Raw genomic sequence first — 19,992 nt, 5'->3', positions numbered from 1 at the left:
GGAGGACATCGCCTGGTGGGAGGCGCAGTACCCAGTGTGTGGGGCGGGCGCCGGGCCGGGGAGGAGCGTAGGGCTGGCGCAGCTGTGGCACTTCAGAGGGCTCCTCCTCGTGCGGCAGGGGGTCACACGCCTGGGGAGGCAAGGCACGGGGGCACAGGGTGTGGCAGCCTCACAGGCCTAGGGGCTGACTCAGAGAATGGCCCAGGAACCTGAAATGCTGGGTGATAATTTGGGTGTTCATCCTCCTGCAGGGCAGCCTCTGGGGAGATGGAGCTGGGGATGGTGGAGAGCACAGCGGGTTCCTCCAGAGACAGCTGACAGCACTGGGCAGGGGGCAGGGCCATGCTCTCCTCCCACTTCGGGGGTGCTGTGGGGAAAGTTAAGGCTCCATCCTGGAGCACTCTGGCCCCAGGAGCCCTCAGAGAAGTGGGATTCCTTGGGGACAGTTATCTGGGATCCCTGCTGCTGCTAAAAGGGCCAGGCCCCCCTCCCCAGCCATCTAGTCTTGCTGTGGCTACAGAACTTACCAGCACGTGGAAGGGGCTGTTGGGGATGTGCTCACCCCCGAAGCGGATGGTGATGACGTACTTGCCCGGCTCGGGCGCTGTGTAGTAGATGTCAAAGGTACCGTCATGGTTCTCAACCACATCCACATCGAGCTCTGCCCCATCCGGCGTGGACACCGTGCATGTCACCTTCCCCTCACCGGCTGCCTTGGCATCCACCGTGATCACCGTCTCCTGCCCAATCTGGATTCGAGGGCCCAGGCAGGCACCTGCCATGCGGGAGATCCTGCTCAGGGAGCTGGTGGGCTGGAGCCAGCCCTCTCTGTTCCCGCTGCCCGCCCCCTACCGCCAACCACCCTGGCCCACACCAAGAAGAGGAGAGAAAGGGCACTCACCCAGGCCATGGCCTCCAATGGACACTGGAAAGAGAGAAGAGTGTGAGGCCAGGCGGTGCTCAACGTGGGCTGGGGCATTGGGCGGGGGTGAGGGAGGGAGGGGCCAGGGCTAGGGCATGTGTGCTCTCCGACCAGCAGACCCCTGGGGACCAGGCCAGGGTTCTGGAGGGGCTTTGAGGGGCTGGGTGGTGAGCAGGGCACGGGCAGCGGGTGGGCACCCACCTGTGACGAGGCACTTGCTGGCATCCCCAGTGGGCAGAGCATGGATGCGGAAGGGCGAGTAGGGGATCTCATCACCGCCATACTTGATGGTGATGGTGTACCGGCCACTCATGTCCGGCAGGTAGGACACAGTGTACGTGCCATCCCCATTGTCCCGGATGTTGGCCTTCTTGGGCTTACCCTCGGGGTCCTGAGGGAGAAGCAGAGGTCAAGGCCCGCCTGTGCCTGGAGCATGACCTGCGGGGTGGGATGCACAGAGACTCACCAAGATCTGGACAGTGAGCAACCCCTCGCCCGCGTCCCGTGCGTCGATGGTGAACTCCACAGGCAGGCTGGCAGGGATGCCAGAGGCGTTGAGGCCTGGGCCGCTGGCCCGCACCTTGCTGGCATCATGAGCTGGGAGGACCTTGATCTTGAAGGGGCTTGAGGAGCAGAAGGGATAAACAGTTGGCTGGGTGGCATGGACGGGGCGGTGGGGGGTGATCTCATCTTGAGCCAGAGTCCTCCCCATAGACATGGGCAGGAGGGAGGACTGTGGGGCAGGGAGGAGGGACCAGTTCCCAGAAGCCGATGACATTCCATGTCTGGGGGTGGGGGCACTCTGGGACTCCCTCGACAGAGCCAGGGTACGTCTCCATTCCCCAGGAAGGTGCTGTGGGAGGGTCCAGGAGGAGGCCCTGGCCCAGGCCTCCTGCACTCTTCCTAAGGCGCTAGGTTTGCCGTAAAAGCTCCTGGGGCAGGAAAGCCTCACAGCAGAGAGCCCCGGGGAAGAGCGGGATGGGGTGGCGAGACTGGACGAGGCTGAGAGCTGGGAGAGGCTCTCCCAGGGGACTCCAGCAGTGATCCTGAGTGCCACCCCAGCAGGAGCACCCCAGAGCTCAGCCGCAGCACAGGAGCCCAGGGCTGGTCCTCACCTGCGTGGCACCTCCTGGTCAGCATACTTGACGGCTACCGTGTAGGGCCCGTCAGTGGCTGGGGTGTAGTGGACAGTGTGGGTGCCATCTCCATTGTCCCGCACCTCCACAGGCTCGGCCACACCTGGGCAAGGGGCACAGGGTCAGCAGAGCCTCCGGGCGTCCCGCCCCACCTCCCTCCTCCCTGCCCCGGCCATTCTATACCTGTGGGGCCCAGCACAGCCACCTGCAGGGGCGCCCGGCCAGCTTGACTGCAATCCACTGTGAAGGTCTGAGGAACCCGGGCCCTGACACCAGCCCCCAGCCCTGGCCCTGAGCACTTCACCTTCCCAGGGTCCACCACATCCTTCACTGGCACGCGGAACGGGCTCCCTGTGAGGAGAAGGACATTAGACCCTGCCCACCAGCCCTGATGGGTCCCCCTGATGCTGAGGAGCCTCGGAGGAGGAGGCCTTCCCTGCCTTTGAAATGCCCACAGGGAAGCCAGACCAACATGGGAAAATGGCTAGGAACTTGCTAAGAAAACACACACAAGAATAAATGAACTTGACTGCAGACTGAGGCTGGGCAAACCTCACTCATGTGGGTCCCAGGCCTGGAAGAGAAGGCCTTCCTAAATTAATAAAATGTGAAAATAAAATGTTTTCAAAAATGAAATGTATTTCTGACACTGTGGCTGAAATAATAAAAAGATGGGAAATTAGATAAGGGAAAAAATTTCCAATTTCAGCAGTCCCAAGTCATACAATATTTGAAGACATGACCTGCCCGGGCAGCTGGGTCTGCAGAGGGCAGGGGAGTTCTGCAGACGATGCGTGCAAGAAGGCCCAAGGCTGGCCTGAGCCGCCAAGAGGAGTGGACTGTGTCTGAGTTTCTGGACACACAGTGAGTGGTGGACCTGCAAAGCCAAGGTCTTGAGCTCCAGACAAGGGGCTAGGAGGCCAGAGTGTGTTCCTGTGATTGACTAGGGGGGCTGTCACATCAACCCTCATTGCCTGCCTCCTCCACGTCCTCCCTCTGGCCGGGCTCCGGCCCCAACCCACTCTAGGCTGTCCTCTCTATGAACATTCTTACCCAACTTCCTTCCAGTTTCCCCCTTGTGGGGCGAGCATCCTGCACCCTCCCTTGTCTTCCCTGAGACCCCGACCACTCTCTCTGCACACCTGGGATGGGCCGCCCCCCGAAGGTGATGTTGACGTCATAGTCTCCAGGAGTGAAGGGGATGTACTCCACGGTGCAGCTACCATCCTTGTTGTCCTTGCAGGACATCTTGGCTTCCGAGGGACCCTCGATGGCTAGGCCAAGGCCCCCGGTGCCCGCTCCCCTGAGAGATAACATCCCCCCATCAGCTTCATAAGACCAGTGAGTGAGGATGAGGGAGTAGCTGAATGGGGGGACAGGGAGGAAAGAGGGCAGGCCGCTGGGGACCCAGCTGAGGAGAAACGAGCTACAGGGGCCAATCTGGGGTCCTGGAGGGGGTCTGCTCCTGCCTCACCCCTGAGAGAGGATGGGGTGGGGCTGAGGCCCAGGCAGAGGGATGAGCGAGGAGGGCCAGGGGCTGGGAAAGGGTGGTCACAGATTTAGGCTAGCAAAGGGGGAGGATACCTGGTCTCCACAGTGAATCGGTTGGCCTTGTTGACCAAGCCACCCTCCAGGCCTGGCCCGAAGGCTCGGACGCGGGTGGGATCACAGCCCTCGGTCACGCCCACTCGGAAGGGGCTCTTGGGCACAGCGACCTCATCATACAGGACCTCCACCAGATGCACGCCTGGAAGCCAGCCACAGGGGCATCAATCAGGGAGTGTGCGCCCCCACCACCCCTCCTGCCCCGAGGGCAATATCATCAGATCCCGGCCCTGCCCACTTGCCCAGCCCTGCCCACTAGCCTGGCCCACCGGCCCTCACCCTCCTCGTAGGCGGTGTACTGCACTCGGTAGGTGCCGTCCCCATTGTCTGTCACATAGGTGTCTGTCTTGGCCCCCGAGGGGTTGAGCACACGAGCCGTCACGTGGTTGCCGCCTGTGGCTGTTAGGGATCTTGCATCCACAGTGAACTCAGTGGTCACCTCCCGCAGGACACCTGGAGCCCAGGGGTGGCGTGTTCAGCAGGGGTGGGGGCAGCCTTCACACAGATGCTCCCTCTCCTCTCCCCCTCCTTTCCCTCTCCTCTCCCTCTCCTCTTCCCCTCCTCTTCCCCTCCTCTCACCCTCCTCTCCCCCTCCTCTCCCACTCCCCAACTCCCAGGCTGCTCCTCTAATCGGAGCCTGGGCCCCACACCCTCCCCTGCACCTCTGTGAGCTCCAGCCTCTGCCTTCACTCCCTTCTCCATGTAGTGACATTCTCTGTTCACTTGAGTCACCCACCAGGCTGTGGGCCTGGGTCTTGCATCCCTCTGCCGTGGCCCATGCCTAGCCAGGGTCTGGCCCCTGGCAGATGGCCCATTCCCACTTACTGTCTTCTGACTCTTGTCATCCTCTACCCCAAAGCTTTCCCCGTGCCCCCGTCCAGAGCAGAGTTTTAGCTTTTTGGATCAGGGTACCCCTTAAGCACATGAAAGAAGAGATCTCTCCAGAAAAACGCCCAGAGGCAGGTGCAGTTTTGCCACAAGAGCAGAGGCCAATCTCCACCCCCGGTCTTCCCCTCCACTCCTTCTCTGGGGTTTCTGGGCCAGTAAGGACTCTGGGGCTGCTCCGAGAGCCCTCCCTTCACCCCAGGTTGCTCTTCCAGCTCTCAGCTCTTCTTCCCTCCCTCCCACGGACTACCCAGCTCCTGCACCTGCCACTTGACCTTTCTTGGCTCCTCCTGTCCACTCACCGTGTGGCTCAACACCAGGCCCTGAGACCTTGACGCCACTGGTATCGACCGCAGGCTGCACATGGACACGGGTGGGGAATTTGGGCACGGGATGCCCGCCATACTTGATGGTAATGGTGTAGGTGCCAGGGAAGGCAGGGCTGTAGGTGATGTGGTAGGTGCCATCCGCGTTGTTGTGGATCAGCACCTCGGCCTTGACCCCGGCATCCGACAGGATCTCAATGGTCAGCTCCGCCTCGCCTGCCTCTGAGCAGTCCACAGTGAAGGTGGCTGCCTCACCGACCTTGCCGCGCTCCAGGCCCGGTCCACTGGCCCGCACCTTGCTCGGGTCAAACACAGGCCGAATGGTGGCTTTGAAGGGCGAGCCAGGGATGTGGGCCTCAGCAAACAGGATGTTGATGGTGTACTCGCCAGGCTCCGTGGGCAGGTAGCTGACAGCACATGAGCCATCACCATTGTCCTGGCACTCGATCTTGGCCTCGCAGGGGCCCTCTACGGTCAGCCCCAGGCCACCTGTGCCAGCCCCCTTGGTGTCGATGGAGAATGGCGCGGGGGTGCCTACCAGTCCACCCTTGAGACCCGGGCCATAAGCACAGACCTAGGGGAAGAGGCAGGTTGTGGGTTCCCTGCACCTGGCCTCCTCATCCCAGCCTTCATGGCCCCCACCCAACTCATCACCTCCAACTGTGGCTGCTACTGTGGACTGAGTGCTTATAACAATCCCAGGTGATGACATTGAGGCAGCGAGATGAAGCAATTTGCCCCAGTTAGTGGACCTGGGATTCAAGCCCAGGTGTGACTCCAAGGCCAGGCTCTTAATAGCTAAGTTGTCTCCAAGGCAGGTGGTGGGGTGGGGCTGGCCTCAGCCCCACACCCTTGGCTGTGCCCACTCCAGGCACATAAGTCCCTCTGGCCTCTGCCCCCTATGACTCATCTATCTTCCCAACAAGTCCCCAACTCCCAGCCCCAACCAGCTCCTATCTCCTCACCTTGGAGGGATCAGGGGGCAGGACACCCTCCACAGCAAACGGGCTGCCAGGCACCGGGTGACCATCGTAGGTGATATCCACCTTGTAGGGCCCCTCCTCCGGGGGCATGTAGCGCACAGCCTGGGCTTCCGCTCCACCGCCTGGCTCCAGCTTGCAGGGGATGGGCCGGCGAGAGGGCGAAGTCATCCGCACATCCAGTTGGCCCTGACCGCCAGCCCCTCGTGTGTTCACAGAGAATGCTTGTTCCTGTCCCACAGCCACCTCTGCGTGGAGGGCAAGTGACACCATGAGGAGACTCCGGTCCACCCTACCCGAATACCCCTCACTCCCAGGGTGGCTCTTGCCCCACTTACTGCTATTAAGGCCCTGAACTTTGATTTTGCTGAGGTCCAGCGGGGGTGCCACATTCACCACAAAGGGGCTCTTGGGGACAGGGTCCCCGCCATAAGTCACTGTCACTGCCATGTTGCCCTGTTGGGTACAATGGTAGGTCAGAACTGGATATAAGGCAAGGTCCTACAACATCCTGGTGGTGAATATGGGCTCTGAAGCTCAGATCCACCATGAGAGTGAGGGCAGGAGGCAGGAAAGGCGTGGAGGATCCAGAACTGGTCCCATGGGACTGGAGGAGGGAGACCCAGGGCTCTGGCGGGCCGGCCGGGCGGTAGCATGGGAGGGGCAGAGCGCACCTGCTGGACAGCGGTGTACTTGACAGTGTAGGAGTAGTCATGGTTGTCTATGATCTCAAAGTCCCGCACAACCTCGCCCTTGGCTGTCCCTGCAAACTGCACATCCAGCTTGGCCTTGCCGGCTCCCTTGGTCAGCACCGTGAAGTGGGTGGGCTTCCCGACTTCCACACCTGAGGACCCACCCAGAGATGTGGTGAGGGCCTGGCAGCCACCTAACCCCAACCTCGAGCCAGTCCCAGCCCCTGCCCAGACACTCACCTGTGCGATTCAGCCCAGGGCCCTCGGCCTTGACTTTGCTGGCATCGTGGGATGGGTCCACCTTGATGTGGAAGGGGCTGGCGGGGATCTCCTGGATGTGGAGGAGGCTCAGTCAGGGCTCTCGAGGGGAACACACCCCTGCTCTCAGCTAGATGCTGGCTCAGGACACACCCAGGGGACCCAGCATGGACAGGGGCAGCCTCCAAAAGGGCCCCCTTTGCTTCCTCTGAGGCACCCTGCCTCACACAGGTAGGGCTCCACCATGTCTGCGGAATCATCCCTCCCTGTTCCCAGTGACAGCATCTCCAGCTGCCTTCTGGAGCTGGCAGGTGCATGTCGCTGTGAGTACCCAGGAGCTTAGGTACCTGGTTGGCAAACAGCACCATGATGGTGTAGCGGCCCGCCCCTGGTGGCGTGTACTTGACGGTGAAGGTGTCGTTGTCATTCTTGATGATGTCGAAGTCAATGTCAGCCTCTGCAGGGCCCACCACGCCTGGGGCGCACTTGATGCCGATGCTCACGTCGCCTGCAGAGAAGCGGGCACTGCTGTGAGTTGGGCTCAGCCCCCGACTCGACTCACCCCCGCCCCCTCCCAGACCCACCCCTTCCGGCTGGGCGCACCTTGCCCCGCCTCGCTGCAGTCCACCGTGAAGTAGGTGGGCTCATTGGCCTTGAGGCCTGTCTTCTCCACTCCGGGGCCGTACACCTTTACCCGCTCGGGGTGGCTGCCCTCGCCCACGTTCACCTGCGGGAGGGGTCGCAGCTCAGCGTGGTGCCCTCCCTCAAGGCTCATCCTCCTGCCCAGCGCACCCGGCCCAGCCTCAGTGGCACCAGCCCAAGCCTCAGTCCCAGCCTGAGCCCAGGGACAACAGGGACTCCAGCGAGGGTTCCGCCCTCCCTCAGGGACCCCTGGTGGTGGGCACGGGGCAGGCCGGGAGGACGCACCCGGAAGGGGCTCTTGGGCACGTTTACGCCTCCCCAGGAGATGATGATGGTGTGCTTAATGGGCTTGGTGGGCACGTAGGAGCAGCGGAAGGTGCCGTCGCCGTTGGGGATCACCTTGATGTCGATGGGACAGCCGTCGGCGTCCTGTGGGCATCACCCAAGCAAAGTTCATAGCTGTGGCCTCTGCAGAGCGCCCTCTGCTGGCCGCAGGTGAACCCAGCGCCTCCTTTCCCACCCCCAACACTGGCACTCCCGCCCCCACACCAGCCACTGAGGCCACCAGAGCCCAGGGCCACGTGCTCTGGCGGCCAGAGCCCACCCTGGGAGCCTGACTCAAGGCCATCTGTATGGCTTGCTCTCCCAGCCTAGGTTTCCTCAACTCTGAAATGTGTTGGACAGGAAGAGTGTGGGCTAAATTTATGTTCCTAAAACTGAATCATGAGCCTTTCAAAGAAGAATCACCCTCTTAGATCCTCAAGAATATGTTCATTAACCTCTAGGGGTCAATGGACACCAGTCTGAGAAACTGACTTGGGAAACCAGTGTCTTATTCAATGAAACAATCTTTCAATTACAAATTAGCACAAAAATGACTCTTTGGTAAAATACGTTTTTAGGTTATCATCGTTAAGAAAACACAAAATTTAAAATTTTCCATGGTACTGATGGGCCCATGAGTATCAGTCCTGCCTGATCTTCTGTGATGCTGTCATTTCCTGCTGGGAGGCCTCTGCCTCTGGCCTGGCCCTGCCTTCCAGGGTCCCTGCCATGGGTAGTAAGGGCAGCAGAGACTGGACAATGACCTACCTGGGCATAGAGCTTCAGGTCTCCCTTGCCAGCTGCACGAGCATCAATGGTGAACTCAGCGGGCTTGTCCACGATGCAGCCGGTAGGCTCCAGGCCAGGCCCAAAGGCCTTCACCTGTGCGGAGGGAAGAAGGCTGAGTTGGGGAGGGGAGGAGAACCAGCTTGCCCCACCCCCGGGGCAGGTGTGTGTGAGCTGGGACCACACCTTATCTGGGAAGCAGTCAGGTGGGGCGGGCAGGATGTGGGCAATGAAGGGTGAGTCTCGGATGTCCTCATCGTCACAGATGACGTGCACAGCGTACTCCCCAGGCTCCGTGGGCCAGTACCGCACATCGCAGGAGCCATCCCCCTTGTCGTCACATTCGATCTTGGCTTGTGAGGGCCCCTCGATGGAGAAGCCTGGGGCAAGGTGGGGGAGGGTCGGGGATCCAGCATCAGGCAAGACCCTTCCGTCCCCCAGCTCCCCTCTAGCTGCCCTCATGTCCTATCTCCCTGCTCACCCCAGCGCTCCCCAGCATGCGCACTGCACCCATTACCCACAGTGTCCCCTGCTGCCCTCCCCCGCAGCACTCCCTCCTCCTGCCCCCCAGCCACTTACCCAGTGTCCCCACCTCGGTGCCAATGGCTTCCACCACAAAATCGGCTGACTTGCCCACCTGGCCAGTCTCCAAACCAGGACCCCAGGCCCGGACCTTTTGCACTCCTGCCTCTGGGCTCACCTGTACCTCAAAGGGGCTGGGCAGAGAGGGAGCTGGTGTCCATGCCAGGAAGTGCCCCCCAAAGTCCCTCGCAGCCCAAACTCCATCTCCCCTCAAACTCCCTCGCAGCCCAGTGCCCCTCGTCCCTCCCTGTGATGGCCTAGACAGGACAGCATGGGGGGCGCAAGGTACTCACCTGCGAGGGATGGCGTAGCCGCCCCACGTGATGGTCACCACATACTTCCCAGGCACCACCGGGTAGTACTCGCACTCGAACACACCATCCCCAGCCTCCCGCACCTTCACTGGCTCCTCTGTGCCCTCTGAGGAGATGGGGGCAGGGTGGGGAAGAAGGCAGATCAATATCCTTGAAGTCCCAGCTCCTCAATCCCCTCAAGGAGCCATTGGGACCCCGACCCAGCCCGAGGGCAGTGCTGTAGTGAGCAGTGCTGCAACTCAGGGCAGGGAACACTTGTCATCCCTGTGCATAACACCCCGTATAGCACTTAGGGTGGAGAGAATCATTCCTGGCTTGTAGACCAAGAAACTGAGGCAGAGAGGAGACAATGAGCCTGAGATTCTGGGGTGCCTCTGGTCACTGTGGAGCTGTGGTGCTGGCTGTCACTGCCCTCTGGGAGTCAGAACCACTGGCCATACTTCCCTTATGATCCCCCAGCCCCACCCTCACGACCCTGGGCTCTGGCACTCACTTGGCCCCTTGACCGTGACCTTGAGCTCCCCGCTGCCGGCACCCTTGGTAAACACCTTGAAGTCAGCCACCTCTTTCACGCGAACACCCTTGGGCTGCAGGCCTCGCCCAGAGGCGCGGCAGGCGTTGGGGTTACAGGCTAGGGGAGGAAGAGAAAGGAGGTTGGGGGTGCTGAGGGGCCTTGGACCACTAGCCCCCACCTCCCTGTGCACAGTCCTTCTAACCCCTCCCAGGCACAGGCAGTGGCCCACGGCCCTGCTCTGGAGCCCTTTGTGTCCCCAGCACAACCGGGGCTGCCGGGCTGGAGCTGGCTACAGGCCCCAGATCAGGCAGGTTACAAGAAAGTTTCCGAGCCAGTGCCACTGGGGAAATGCATGGCAGAGCCTGGGCTGAGAGTGGGCTCAGAGAGACAGGGAAGGCCCCTTTACCCAGCCCAAGGCCATCCATCTAGAGCCCTCTGGGCCTCTCAGGGCACCAAAGCAACCTTAGGATCTAAGTCATGCCACAAAACATCCAGCAATGCCACAGAACAAGGGCTACTTCATAGAACTCGAAGCCTGCCATACAACACAGGCAACGTGTGGACATCAGCCTACCACAGACCGTGGCCAGTGGCAATGAGCCCAGGCCTTGCTATGGAACACAGGCAAAGGAATGGGAATCTCAGCCTGCCACAGAATCCAGAAAAATGGCATGGGACCCACAGGTGCTACGAAACAGGACACGACACATATTCCAGGACTACCATGACCATAGGCGATGGCACTGCCCAAGGGGTACCACGGAACACAGGCAATGGCTCAGAGCCCAGATTTCATCATAGAAATCACCAGGCAAGTGGCAAAGACACTAGACCTGCCACAGAACACAGACAACGGCATGGAACCTGGGGCCTGCCACAGAATGCCAAGGAAGGGGGGGCGATTCCACACGGCCCGGGCCATGCCACACAGCACAGGTGAGGCCAGTCAGCTGCGGCCATGCCTGGCCCCGCCTCCACTGGAGAGCATTAATGTGGCATCACTCTCGGCCTGGTGGACGATGGGCACTGAGTGCAGGGAGAGAACAAGTGGGGCAGTCACCACCTGAGGGCTTGGCATGCAGGCAGTACTCCCTAGATATGCCCCCACCCATACAGCCCCGTCACTTCCGCTCAGCCCTCCCAGGGTGGCACATGTTCTGGGACCCTTCACTGTGGCCTCCCAGCTGTGCTCTTAGGAACTCCAGCCACCTTGGGGGTGGGATGGAGGACTCAGGGAGGGGGTCTCTGCAGACCCCCGCCCCAGCTCTTCCTCCTGCCCCTTGCAAGCCTCTGGCTTTGGTAAGGGCTACCGTGGGGAGCAGTGAAGGGCCCTTACCTTCCGACACATGGACAGGGAAGGGACTGCGGGTGATGGGGGCACCCGCAAAGGCCACATGCACGGTATGTGGCCCCTCCATGGCAGGTCTGTATGTGCAGCGGAACGTGCTGTCACCCTTGTCCTCCAGGGCCACCTCCACTGTGTCCCGCCGGCCCTGTGGGTCCACGATCACCACAGCAACATCGCCAGTGCCGGCCCCTGCCGAAAACAGAGGCTGTCAGCACCACTCTGGACACACACAGCTGCCCCGGTGCCCTCACCCTGAGGCTGCCCACCCTCTGGCTGGCATCCCTGTCCCAGCCTCCCCCCACCCCCACACAGCCCCACATGGTCAGGGGCTTTCCACCTGCACCCCCTGGGGCCCGTCCTACCCGCAGTGTAGATGTCAAAGTAGGTGGGTTTGTTGGCCACATTGCCCACAGGTTCCAGGCCAGGGCCACGGGCTGACACCTTGTTGGCATCTCCCAGGGCCATGCCCACGTTCACCTCAAAGGGACTGCGTTCAATGTTCTGGCCAGCAAAGAGCACGGTCACCTAGGGGTCAGAGGTCAAAGGTTAGCTTCTAGGGGAGAGCAGTCCTGAGAGGGGGCAGAGGGGCACAGCCAGGCCAAGGAGGGTGAGAGGCGGGCAGCTGGGGCTCTGGGCAGGCGCGAGGTACAGGCTGAGAGAGGGGTCCATGCAGCCGGAACCAAGGATGTGAAGAGCAGCGCAGGCAGGGGGGCCTAGAGGGAGATACCTTGTGTAACCCAGCGACCTTGGGCACATAGGAGACAGCATAGGTGCGATCCTTGTCATTGTTGGGAACCACCTTAGCCTATTAGGAAGGAAAAAGATTGGAAGCCTCTCCAATGACCATAGCCCCTCCTGACCCCACAGTGCCTTATGCACCCCAGCCCCACTCAGCCCCCATGGTGACACCTTCCCCAGACTGCACAGCACAGTGTGTGGCTCTGGCAGTCACCTCCGGGCCATTCCTGTTGTTGGCCCCACGCTCTCTGGTTCCAATCCCAAGTGAATCCCTCTGTCCCCAGCGGCCTCTGCATACCTCCTCGGTGTGGCCTTCAGGGTCCTCGATGTAGACCAGCACCTCGCCCACGCCCGCGTCCACCGTCTGCACGGTGAAGTGGGCAGGCTGCAGCACGGTGTTGCCCTGTGGCTCGATGCCTACGGGGCAGGAGCAGAGCCCAGGTTACTCAGGGAGAGCCTACATGTGCCCAGCTGCCCAGGAGGGCCGCCAGGGGCTCACACATACCAGGCCCATAGGCGATGGCTTTCTTGGGGTTCAGCTGCTTGGATCGAACAGGGGCACCAGGTTTGAGCTTGGCCTTGGGGAACTGGGACAGGTAGGTCATAACAGAATGCTCATCCACGTTGGGGTCCACAATCTCCTCAGGGGCAATGACCTGCGATGGAAAGGAGTGATGTCACATGGCGCCCTCTTTTCCCAGCAGCCCCAGTCTCCCCCTGCACCCTGGCCAGGTAAACTTACAGACCCAACCTCTGCCCCTGCCCCCTTTCCCCCCTGCCCCATCTGCGCATGTACCTGGGGCACCCCAAGCCAGTCGTCGGCCTGCTGCATGGCCTCCCGGGCGTTCTCCACGGGCTGGTTGGGGTCCCAGGCCTCCCAGTCGGGGCAGAGACCTGGAGAGGTGATGGAGGGAGACGATGGTGAGGGGCAGCCAGCCGGCCAGGATGCAGGGCATTTGTTCACCCAACACCCTCAGAGGCTGTGGCTTTACACCCCTTCCCACCAGCTCTAGGCCTTGACCAGCCAGGTTCCTGCTGACCCCATCAGCTTCGAGGCCCCTCACCACGTAGGAGCAGGACAGCCCTCTCCACCACCAACAATGAAGCCTTTCTGCCCTGGCTGACGCAGCCTGGCACCAGCCCTGCTGGCCGGCCTCCTGCCTGCCCAGGCCCCAGCTCAGACCTTGAACCCCAAACCCTGGGAGGGTACCCCCTCTCGCTATCTCTTGCCTCATTCAGCTTTCTCAGGGGTGGGCAGAGGAGGTCAGAGTGCCTGTCCCACATATGCCCCTGACCCATCCCCCCTAGAAGGCCTCCTCACAGCTGCCCCGAAGCTCTAGAACTCCAAACGCTTTCCACACCAGTCTTAGGGTATGAGACTCCCTATTCCTTCTAACTGCTCACTTGGGGAAACTGAGGCATTAAAGGGCCTGTGAGGAGAGAATGACTTCTCCTCTGCAGCCCTCAGGAGCCCTGCCTTCCTAACAGGAAGGACGCTGAGGCAGCCCCAGATCACTCCTATGAACGGTGCAGGTGAAGGGGCGCTTGGTTTAGGCCAGAGCTGGAGGAGGGGGACGGCACACCGTTTCGGGGAGGGGGCCGGCTCAAGGCTGGAATCCATGACTGGCTGGAACAGCTGAGCTCACTGCTGGCAGCCACACCAGTTATGGGCCATGGCTCAGCAGCTGGGAATGCTTCCCAGGAGGCTGTGCCCCCGCCTCCCACCCTCTGCTCCCCGGCTGACCCCAGGGTGGAGGAGGATTCTCCCGAGGGGCTGTGACTCCTGGAGAAAACCTATCTTTTCAGGAGATGAGGGGCAGAAAGGGAGCTGTCCATGGGGTACGCTCTAGCCAGTGATGCCTCAGCTTTTTTCATGGCCCCTGAGCTGTCCCCACTTGACCAGGCCAGGACCTACACGGAGAAGGGGCAAGGCTGGCTCACCTGCCACCAGGCAGTGCCCCACTGGCCTCATCCCACATCATCCTGAGCCTCAACCCCTTCTCAAAGTCATCCCAGGGTCTCCCAGAGAAGAGCCTTCTCTGGATCTAACTCCTGGTCTTGCTACAAGTCCTGGTCACCACACTGCCTCTCTCTCAGCTCGGCAGGAATAGTGCCTCGTGGCACAGTAAAAAATTCATGGGGCAGGGAGTCCAGGCCCTGGGCTCTAGGTGGTTCTGCCACAGATAAGCTGTGTGATCTTGGATAAGTCACCAGCCCTCTCTGGGCCATAGTGTCCTTGTCTGTAAAATGAGGGGTTTTAAACCTCTTCCTGCCTCTGCGGAATCTGGCACACTCATCAGGTAGGGCCTGCCACCAGCCAGCGGAGAGCCACAGCTGGAGGAGGACAAACCCTGCAGGGGATCCTGGCCCCCAGGCCCCAGGGTGTGCATTCTGACAACCACACGCCTTGGCAGCCCCAGCTTGTCCCCTCTGTCTTTGGGAGCTAAGGGCTCCATGCTGTGCTCACTGGCCCACTCACCGGGGGCGCAGTTGTCCACCAGGGCGCCCAGAGCTTTGCCGTCCTGCCAGTCACGGTTGAAGTTGGTGATGGGCAGCTGGGGCACCTTGTTCTGGATCCAGCCAAGCAGCCGCTGCTTGGGCGTCTGTTTGCGGGCATCCTCATCATCTTCATCCTCCCACATGGGCATGGAGATGGAGTAGTGCAGGATCAGCGTCCAGATCAGGCCCAGGATCAGCTTCAGGTTCCCATCCACGATGGCCTTGCTGTCTGCAGAGGGGAGGGCACAGACGGGCTCAGGGGCGCCCCACCCTCCACTGCCCCAGAGCACCCTCCCTCACCTGCGCAGCTCCTCGGGCCAGAGCTCTGGGGTCAGGCCTCTAGTCTCTGCCTACCTGACCCTCTCCCTCCTGCGAGGCCCCACTCAGATGCCAAGTTCTTTATGGGGCCCTTCCGGTCAGAAGGCTGCTTCTCTGTGTTCCTGTGGTTCTGGAAGGTACCCTCACCTCAGCTACAGCAAGTGAGTCTGCCTCCTGTCTATGTAATTACCTGGTTTCTTTCTGGCCTTGTGGGATTGTAAGGCTCCCAGGGCAGAGCCTTTTTGTTTTGTTAACAGTTCTACTGAGCTATGATTGACATACAGCAAACTGCACATGCTAGAGAATGAAGTTTGAGAAGCTTTGACACTATGGATATATCACGAAGCCGTCACCACAGATGGAGAATAACGAAGGTACCATCCATCACTCCCCAAAGTTTCCTTGCACACACCCCTTTGTGAGCCCTCCCTCCTGCCGTCCTTGTCCCTCCATCCCAAGCAACAACTGATCTGCTCTCTGTCACGATAGATTACTTTGTATTTCCTAGAGTGTTATATAAATGGAATCACACAGTATATACTCTCTTTTTTTTTGGTCTGGTTTTTTTCACTCTAGACACTAGGTTTTATCTTTCTACAATGAAGGTCTTAAACATAGTAAGGTCTCAATAAATATTGGTTGAATGAATATTTTAAGAACTGAAATTGGAGTGGGGTAGGACAAGTTTCCACTCACACTCTACCCCGAATGCCAGAAAGGGCTTTAGAAACCAAGGGGTTCTGATAGTGGGGCAGGGGTGGGTGGGTGGGGTCCAGTACATTCTCAGTTAAGTCTTGAAAGTCATGTTGTCAAAGGCTGGGGGCCAGAGGGACTCCAGCCTCAGGAGCTGACACACTCCACCCATCACCTCCTTTGAGGAATCCTTTGAGCCAGAACTGGTTCCTCAAGATTTGGGGGGGGGGGGCGCCTAGATCCCCCTTAACAATCAGAAAGAAATATCCAGAAGCCTGGGGTGGCCTAGCATGTAGATAGATCTTTGGAATTCAGCTTACTTGTAAAGGGCAATGAAGTTCTGAAATCTATCAGCTTCCCAAAGCACTGCTTTCAGGAGGCTGGAAGGGGGTGGAAGACAGTCTTGTTTACTGATGTTGCCCGAGAGATGGGAGAGGGTGGAGTGGAGCCTTCCCCTTACACATCTTCTCCCCTCCACCCTTCCCCAGGTCTTGGGGAAAGTGTTAGGAGACCGAGAGCCTGGGAAATCCAGGGCATCCCCTGCCCCACTCCCACCTGCCCCGGGAGGGGTGCCTCAGTCTCCCTGTCCCTCTGGCTGGGGCTCTGGCCGCCTGGGCTCCCCCACCCTGTCACTGATTCATCCTTCCTTCCCCAGCAGCTCCCCAGCCCACCCCCTTCCCCTGGCTCCACTGCAGCACAATGGTTTGGCAGCTTTCAGATTCCATGACACACTCACTCCCTGCCTCCCGGTGCTTTCTCTCAAACACACAGGCTCCAACACTTTCACACAGTCTGGATGCCCCAGTGCCCCCAGCCTCTCACAACCCCGACAGCCTCCAAAGCTCACACGCCCAGAAGTACTTCTTGCAAACTGGAGCCAGACCCCTGGGCAGGAAGCCTTGAGGCTGCAGGGGTTGGGGGGGGCGGTGTGTATATGGGGAGGGTGGTCATTCATATTTGCTGGAGAGGGAAGTTTCTCCCCAGCAACTGGCCCTGGGCCAGACAGCAAGTGGTCCAGGCTTGGGGCAGGAGAAGGGCAGTGGGGCCCCAAGTCCCACTCTGGAAGCAATGACCTCCCTCTCCCTCCTCCCTCTCGGAGGCCAGGCAGAGGAGAGGAGCTCAGCGCCACCAGGGCTCACCAAGCCACTTCTCCATCTGCCTAGGGATACCCCCAAAGGAGTGGGAGGAGCCAGACAGCTAGTTCCCGAGGCCACCCCAGGCCTCAAATGGAGGGGGAGGAGAGGGCTGGGCCTAGGGAGGTGCTGGGACAGCTGCTGCCCCCTCCCGCCCCTCCCTTGGTTGTTGGCTCCAGGAGAAGGAATAGCAACTGGGGAACAGCTGCGAGACAGAGCTGCCTCATAGGCCTCTTTGTTCGGAGGGAACGAGGGGCAACGGGGGGCCAGGACAAGGTGGTGAGGATATGAAGGGCACAGCTCCTTTAACCTGGGCTCAGTGCCCCTTCTTCAGGTGGGCTTGGATCCCAGCTGCTACTCCAGACCCTGACTTCCCTCCTGGAAAGAGAAGTGGGGAGTCTTTCTGACACCCCCTGAGGTGCCCAGATGCTCGATTTCGGTGCTGAGACAATACTCAGAAGGTGGCCCCATGGATAGCCCCTTTCCACCACTAAATGGAGTAGGGGAGCTAGCAGAAGCAGGATGCCCCTGCCTCGTGGGCAGCCCCTTTGAACCTCCTCATGGTGGGGCGCCCCAGCTGGTCGCTGCCGGTGTCCCCTCCCCTCCAGCCTCAGCCTGGGGCCGGCAGCTGAATTGCTGACAGCTTATCTCATCAGCGCCAGTGAGCCACTTGGCCCAAATGGGGACTGCCTCCCCTTCCTCCCAGCGGGAACCAGGGAGCTTCCCTCCCACCCTCAAACCAGCTTTTGCTTCTTCCCCTCTGCTCTGAGCCAGCCCCTCCTCTGCTGAGCCAAGGGGGCTGGAGCCAGGCACCGCCACGGGGGAGGGGAGAGGTGTGCTCAGGAAGGACGAGGCCTGGAGAGGGGCCGAGAGCCCCCGCAGACTGGAGGGGAGGGGAAGGCTGAGCGGTTTCCTATATGTCTTGCCGAAGCCTCCGGCTCTTCCCCCAGACCCCACCTGGTACAGTCAGTCCTGCCTTTCAAAACCCAGCCTGCTGAGGATGCCGGCCCAGGACTGACTCCTCTCTGACCCCTCAGCCTCCATCACGTAGCCCTCAGTCTCACTACACACTCCAGGCTCCCTCCCCCACCCCCTGCCCTCAGCCTTGTCCTTCTGGAAAGCTCAGAGACATCTGCTGTGTCACGGAGGCAGGGCTATTTCCAGGACAGGGCAGGCGGGTGGGGTGGGGGGGCAGTATTGGGGCAGGAGGGGGTAAGGGCTAGGGAGGGGACTGGACGGGGCAAAGGGCCCTGGGCTGACCTCAGCTGCTATATCAGGAGGCCTAGAGATGGCCCCAAGGGAGAGTGGGGCTGACAGACATCAAGTCATCTGGAGAAATCTCAGGGAACATCCTGTGTGGGGCCCACCTGGCCCCACATGAAACTCCCCTCCTGGGGCCGTGGGGTGCACCGTCCAAGGACCTCGTCCTGCAAATCCCAGCAGGGTTCTTAAGAGCTCTCCACAGGGGTGGGCGGGGGGATCTTCCCCAGGCCCCCAGCCTCAGGGATGACTGCAGGACTCTGAGGGCAGGACAGCCTCCTGCCACTCCAAGCCCACCCTTGGCGTCTCTGCTCCCAAGACTAGAGTGCCTCCCCGCCCCCACCCTGCACTACACACCTTCCAAATCTGGTTACACTCAAAGACTTCCTCCCTTCCACAGGCCTTTCCCTCCCTCCCCGCAGCCCAGACCGTTAGCTGCAGCCAATCCCGCGGTAGGGGGTGGGCTGGGGCAGGGCCTGGACTTGCGGAAGCCCCCTCCACCGCAGGCTGAAGCAGGAGGAGGACAGACAGGGGTTAAGTCTCCCCGCGCTCGCTCAGTGCCTTTTTAGGTTTCTGAGGCTGGGCCCTGCCTGTCCTGGCCCCCGGGCCTGAACCCAGCTGCTGAGCACATGCACGAAGAGGGCCTCCCGCGCCAGCTCCCCTCGGCCCCAGAGCCCGCAGACGCGGGCAGTGGTTGGGGACCTGTCTTCAGCCCTCTCCCAGCCCGCGGAGGGGCTGTGAAGCTGGGAAGCCACTTGTTTTGTTGGGGGCGGGGAGATGCCCCCAGGAATCAGTGACAGGCACTGGTTCTGTCCTCCCGAGTGTGGGCTAGGGTTGCCCGATGGAAGGAAAGGGAACGGTGAGCCGAGGCGGGAGGTGGGAATGTGCATGGGGAGGCGGCAGCTGGAGGGCTCGCAAACCCTAAGGCCTGGACTCCCCGGGGCACCCAGGGAGTGCTCGCTGTCCCCAGAGGGGTGTGCAGGCAGTGCCCATGGCCCTTGTCGATGGGTGGGAGGGCCGGGGCCAGGGTCTTCTCTCTATACCGGGGGGTGCCCTCCGCCCTGTCTCTCAGCTCCCCGCGCGCCCACCCCGCACCTGTGCCCCTGCCCCATGGGACGACCCTATCCCCGCAGCGCCCGTGCCCTCGCCCCCGGCACTGACCTATGGACACGAGCTTGATGTGCTCGCGCTCGAGGAACTCGAGGGCCACGGACACGTTCTCCAGCTTCATTTGGCGGAAGTTGGGGCGCGGATGGAACTTGCGGTACATGCGCTTCTGGCTGAGCACCTCGAGCAGCGCGATGAGCCGGAGCCCGTCGCTGAGGTCGCGCTGCAGGTCGGTCAGGCGCTTGCCCACGCACTTGAGGTGCTCATTGCACCAGCGCGTGAATGTGTTCTGCTGGATCTTCTTCCACGGCGCGTCCTCCGCCAGGTCCTTCTCCGTGGACGGCATCTCGTCTGTCTCATCGCCCAGGCCGAGGCCGGCGTCTGAGTAGCCGCTGTTGTTCATCATGCTGGCGCGGGCTGGGGGTGCGGCCGGGGCTAGGGCCGCGGTTTGGGCTATCGGGGGCTGTCGGGCGCTGTTGGGGCGCGACCACGGGACTCGCTGCGCTGCGCTGCTCTCCTCTCCAACTTCTCTCGCGCCGGGGCTGGCGGGGCTCGGCGAGGCTCGGCGGGCCTCCTAGGCGCTCGGCCGCTCTCTGGCTCTCTCTCCCTCCAGGGCCGGAGCGGTGCTCGGGAAGGGCGGGCTGGGCCGGGGCGGGGGGTTTAAGAAGCCCCCGGACCGCCGCCCCCCCGCCGCGCCCGCGGCCCCCGGGTCCACGTCAGAGCGCCGGCCTCCCAGGAATGCCGCCCGGCCCGCGGGTGGGGGCCGCGCCGCACAGGACGCCCCGCCCCCGCCGCCCCTCCCCCGCGCCGCCCGGGCGGCGGGACGGGGTTGAGGGCGCCCACCCCCTGGGCCCCCGGTGCCGCCGCGCTGGAAGGTGGCGGGGAGGGCCGACAGTTCTCCATCCACACCCAACACACCAAACTGTCAGG

General features: G+C 61.4%; 1 protein-coding gene across 2 annotated transcripts in view, besides 4 other annotated features; it reads right to left on the bottom strand.

The window, feature by feature from the left end:
• FLNC (filamin C) overlaps positions 1–19,700 on the bottom strand; it is a 28,867-nt gene extending 9,167 nt beyond the window's left edge. Inside the window, exons 1-31 of one of the 2 annotated variants that reach the window (NM_001458.5) lie at positions 19,117–19,700; positions 14,532–14,780; positions 12,849–12,946; positions 12,558–12,708; positions 12,351–12,469; positions 12,042–12,119; positions 11,677–11,839; positions 11,303–11,503; positions 9,946–10,083; positions 9,432–9,558; positions 9,136–9,272; positions 8,743–8,936; positions 8,539–8,652; positions 7,732–7,875; positions 7,408–7,531; positions 7,152–7,312; positions 6,787–6,877; positions 6,529–6,698; positions 6,193–6,310; positions 5,840–6,102; positions 4,851–5,448; positions 3,943–4,116; positions 3,643–3,805; positions 3,201–3,361; positions 2,242–2,409; positions 2,038–2,161; positions 1,389–1,545; positions 1,124–1,313; positions 902–925; positions 528–775; positions 32–130 (exon numbers count right to left, since the gene is read on the bottom strand). In NM_001458.5, coding sequence (NP_001449.3) covers positions 32–130; positions 528–775; positions 902–925; positions 1,124–1,313; positions 1,389–1,545; positions 2,038–2,161; positions 2,242–2,409; positions 3,201–3,361; positions 3,643–3,805; positions 3,943–4,116; positions 4,851–5,448; positions 5,840–6,102; positions 6,193–6,310; positions 6,529–6,698; positions 6,787–6,877; positions 7,152–7,312; positions 7,408–7,531; positions 7,732–7,875; positions 8,539–8,652; positions 8,743–8,936; positions 9,136–9,272; positions 9,432–9,558; positions 9,946–10,083; positions 11,303–11,503; positions 11,677–11,839; positions 12,042–12,119; positions 12,351–12,469; positions 12,558–12,708; positions 12,849–12,946; positions 14,532–14,780; positions 19,117–19,468 — 5,298 coding nt within the window. In that variant the 5' untranslated portion in view covers positions 19,469–19,700. The remainder of the gene's footprint in view (positions 1–31; positions 131–527; positions 776–901; positions 926–1,123; positions 1,314–1,388; positions 1,546–2,037; positions 2,162–2,241; positions 2,410–3,200; positions 3,362–3,642; positions 3,806–3,942; positions 4,117–4,850; positions 5,449–5,839; positions 6,103–6,192; positions 6,311–6,528; positions 6,699–6,786; positions 6,878–7,151; positions 7,313–7,407; positions 7,532–7,731; positions 7,876–8,538; positions 8,653–8,742; positions 8,937–9,135; positions 9,273–9,431; positions 9,559–9,945; positions 10,084–11,302; positions 11,504–11,676; positions 11,840–12,041; positions 12,120–12,350; positions 12,470–12,557; positions 12,709–12,848; positions 12,947–14,531; positions 14,781–19,116) is intronic. The other variant, NM_001127487.2, reaches the window with a different exon arrangement.
• Positions 7,163–7,667: an enhancer, noted in NCBI's record as "H3K27ac-H3K4me1 hESC enhancer chr7:128482493-128482997 (GRCh37/hg19 assembly coordinates)". NCBI's record gives its function as "activates a minimal SCP1, AML or CMV promoter by ChIP-STARR-seq in naive H9 embryonic stem cells {active_cell/tissue: H9 hESC(naive)}" and the evidence as "EXISTENCE:reporter gene assay evidence [ECO:0000049][PMID:30033119]".
• Positions 7,844–7,893: a silencer, noted in NCBI's record as "silent region_18616". NCBI's record gives its function as "represses an Ori minimal core promoter by ATAC-STARR-seq in GM12878 lymphoblastoid cells {active_cell/tissue: GM12878}" and the evidence as "EXISTENCE:reporter gene assay evidence [ECO:0000049][PMID:35858748]".
• Positions 15,991–16,634: an enhancer, noted in NCBI's record as "H3K4me1 hESC enhancer chr7:128473526-128474169 (GRCh37/hg19 assembly coordinates)". NCBI's record gives its function as "activates a minimal SCP1, AML or CMV promoter by ChIP-STARR-seq in primed H9 embryonic stem cells {active_cell/tissue: H9 hESC(primed)}" and the evidence as "EXISTENCE:reporter gene assay evidence [ECO:0000049][PMID:30033119]".
• Positions 19,483–19,644: a silencer, noted in NCBI's record as "fragment chr7:128470516-128470677 (GRCh37/hg19 assembly coordinates)". NCBI's record gives its function as "represses an EF-1alpha promoter that drives an FKBP-Casp9 reporter gene in an ReSE screen in both phorbol 12-myristate 13-acetate-treated (for megakaryocytic differentiation) and untreated K562 erythroleukemia cells {active_cell/tissue: K562 | K562(+PMA)}" and the evidence as "EXISTENCE:reporter gene assay evidence [ECO:0000049][PMID:32094911]".

The sequence above is a fragment of the Homo sapiens genome, chromosome 7 (assembly GCF_000001405.40).
Source record: "Homo sapiens chromosome 7, GRCh38.p14 Primary Assembly".
NCBI lineage: Eukaryota > Metazoa > Chordata > Mammalia > Primates > Hominidae > Homo > Homo sapiens.
The sequence above is the reverse complement of the archived record's forward strand: the minus strand, read 5'-3'. Positions and strand labels throughout refer to the sequence as shown.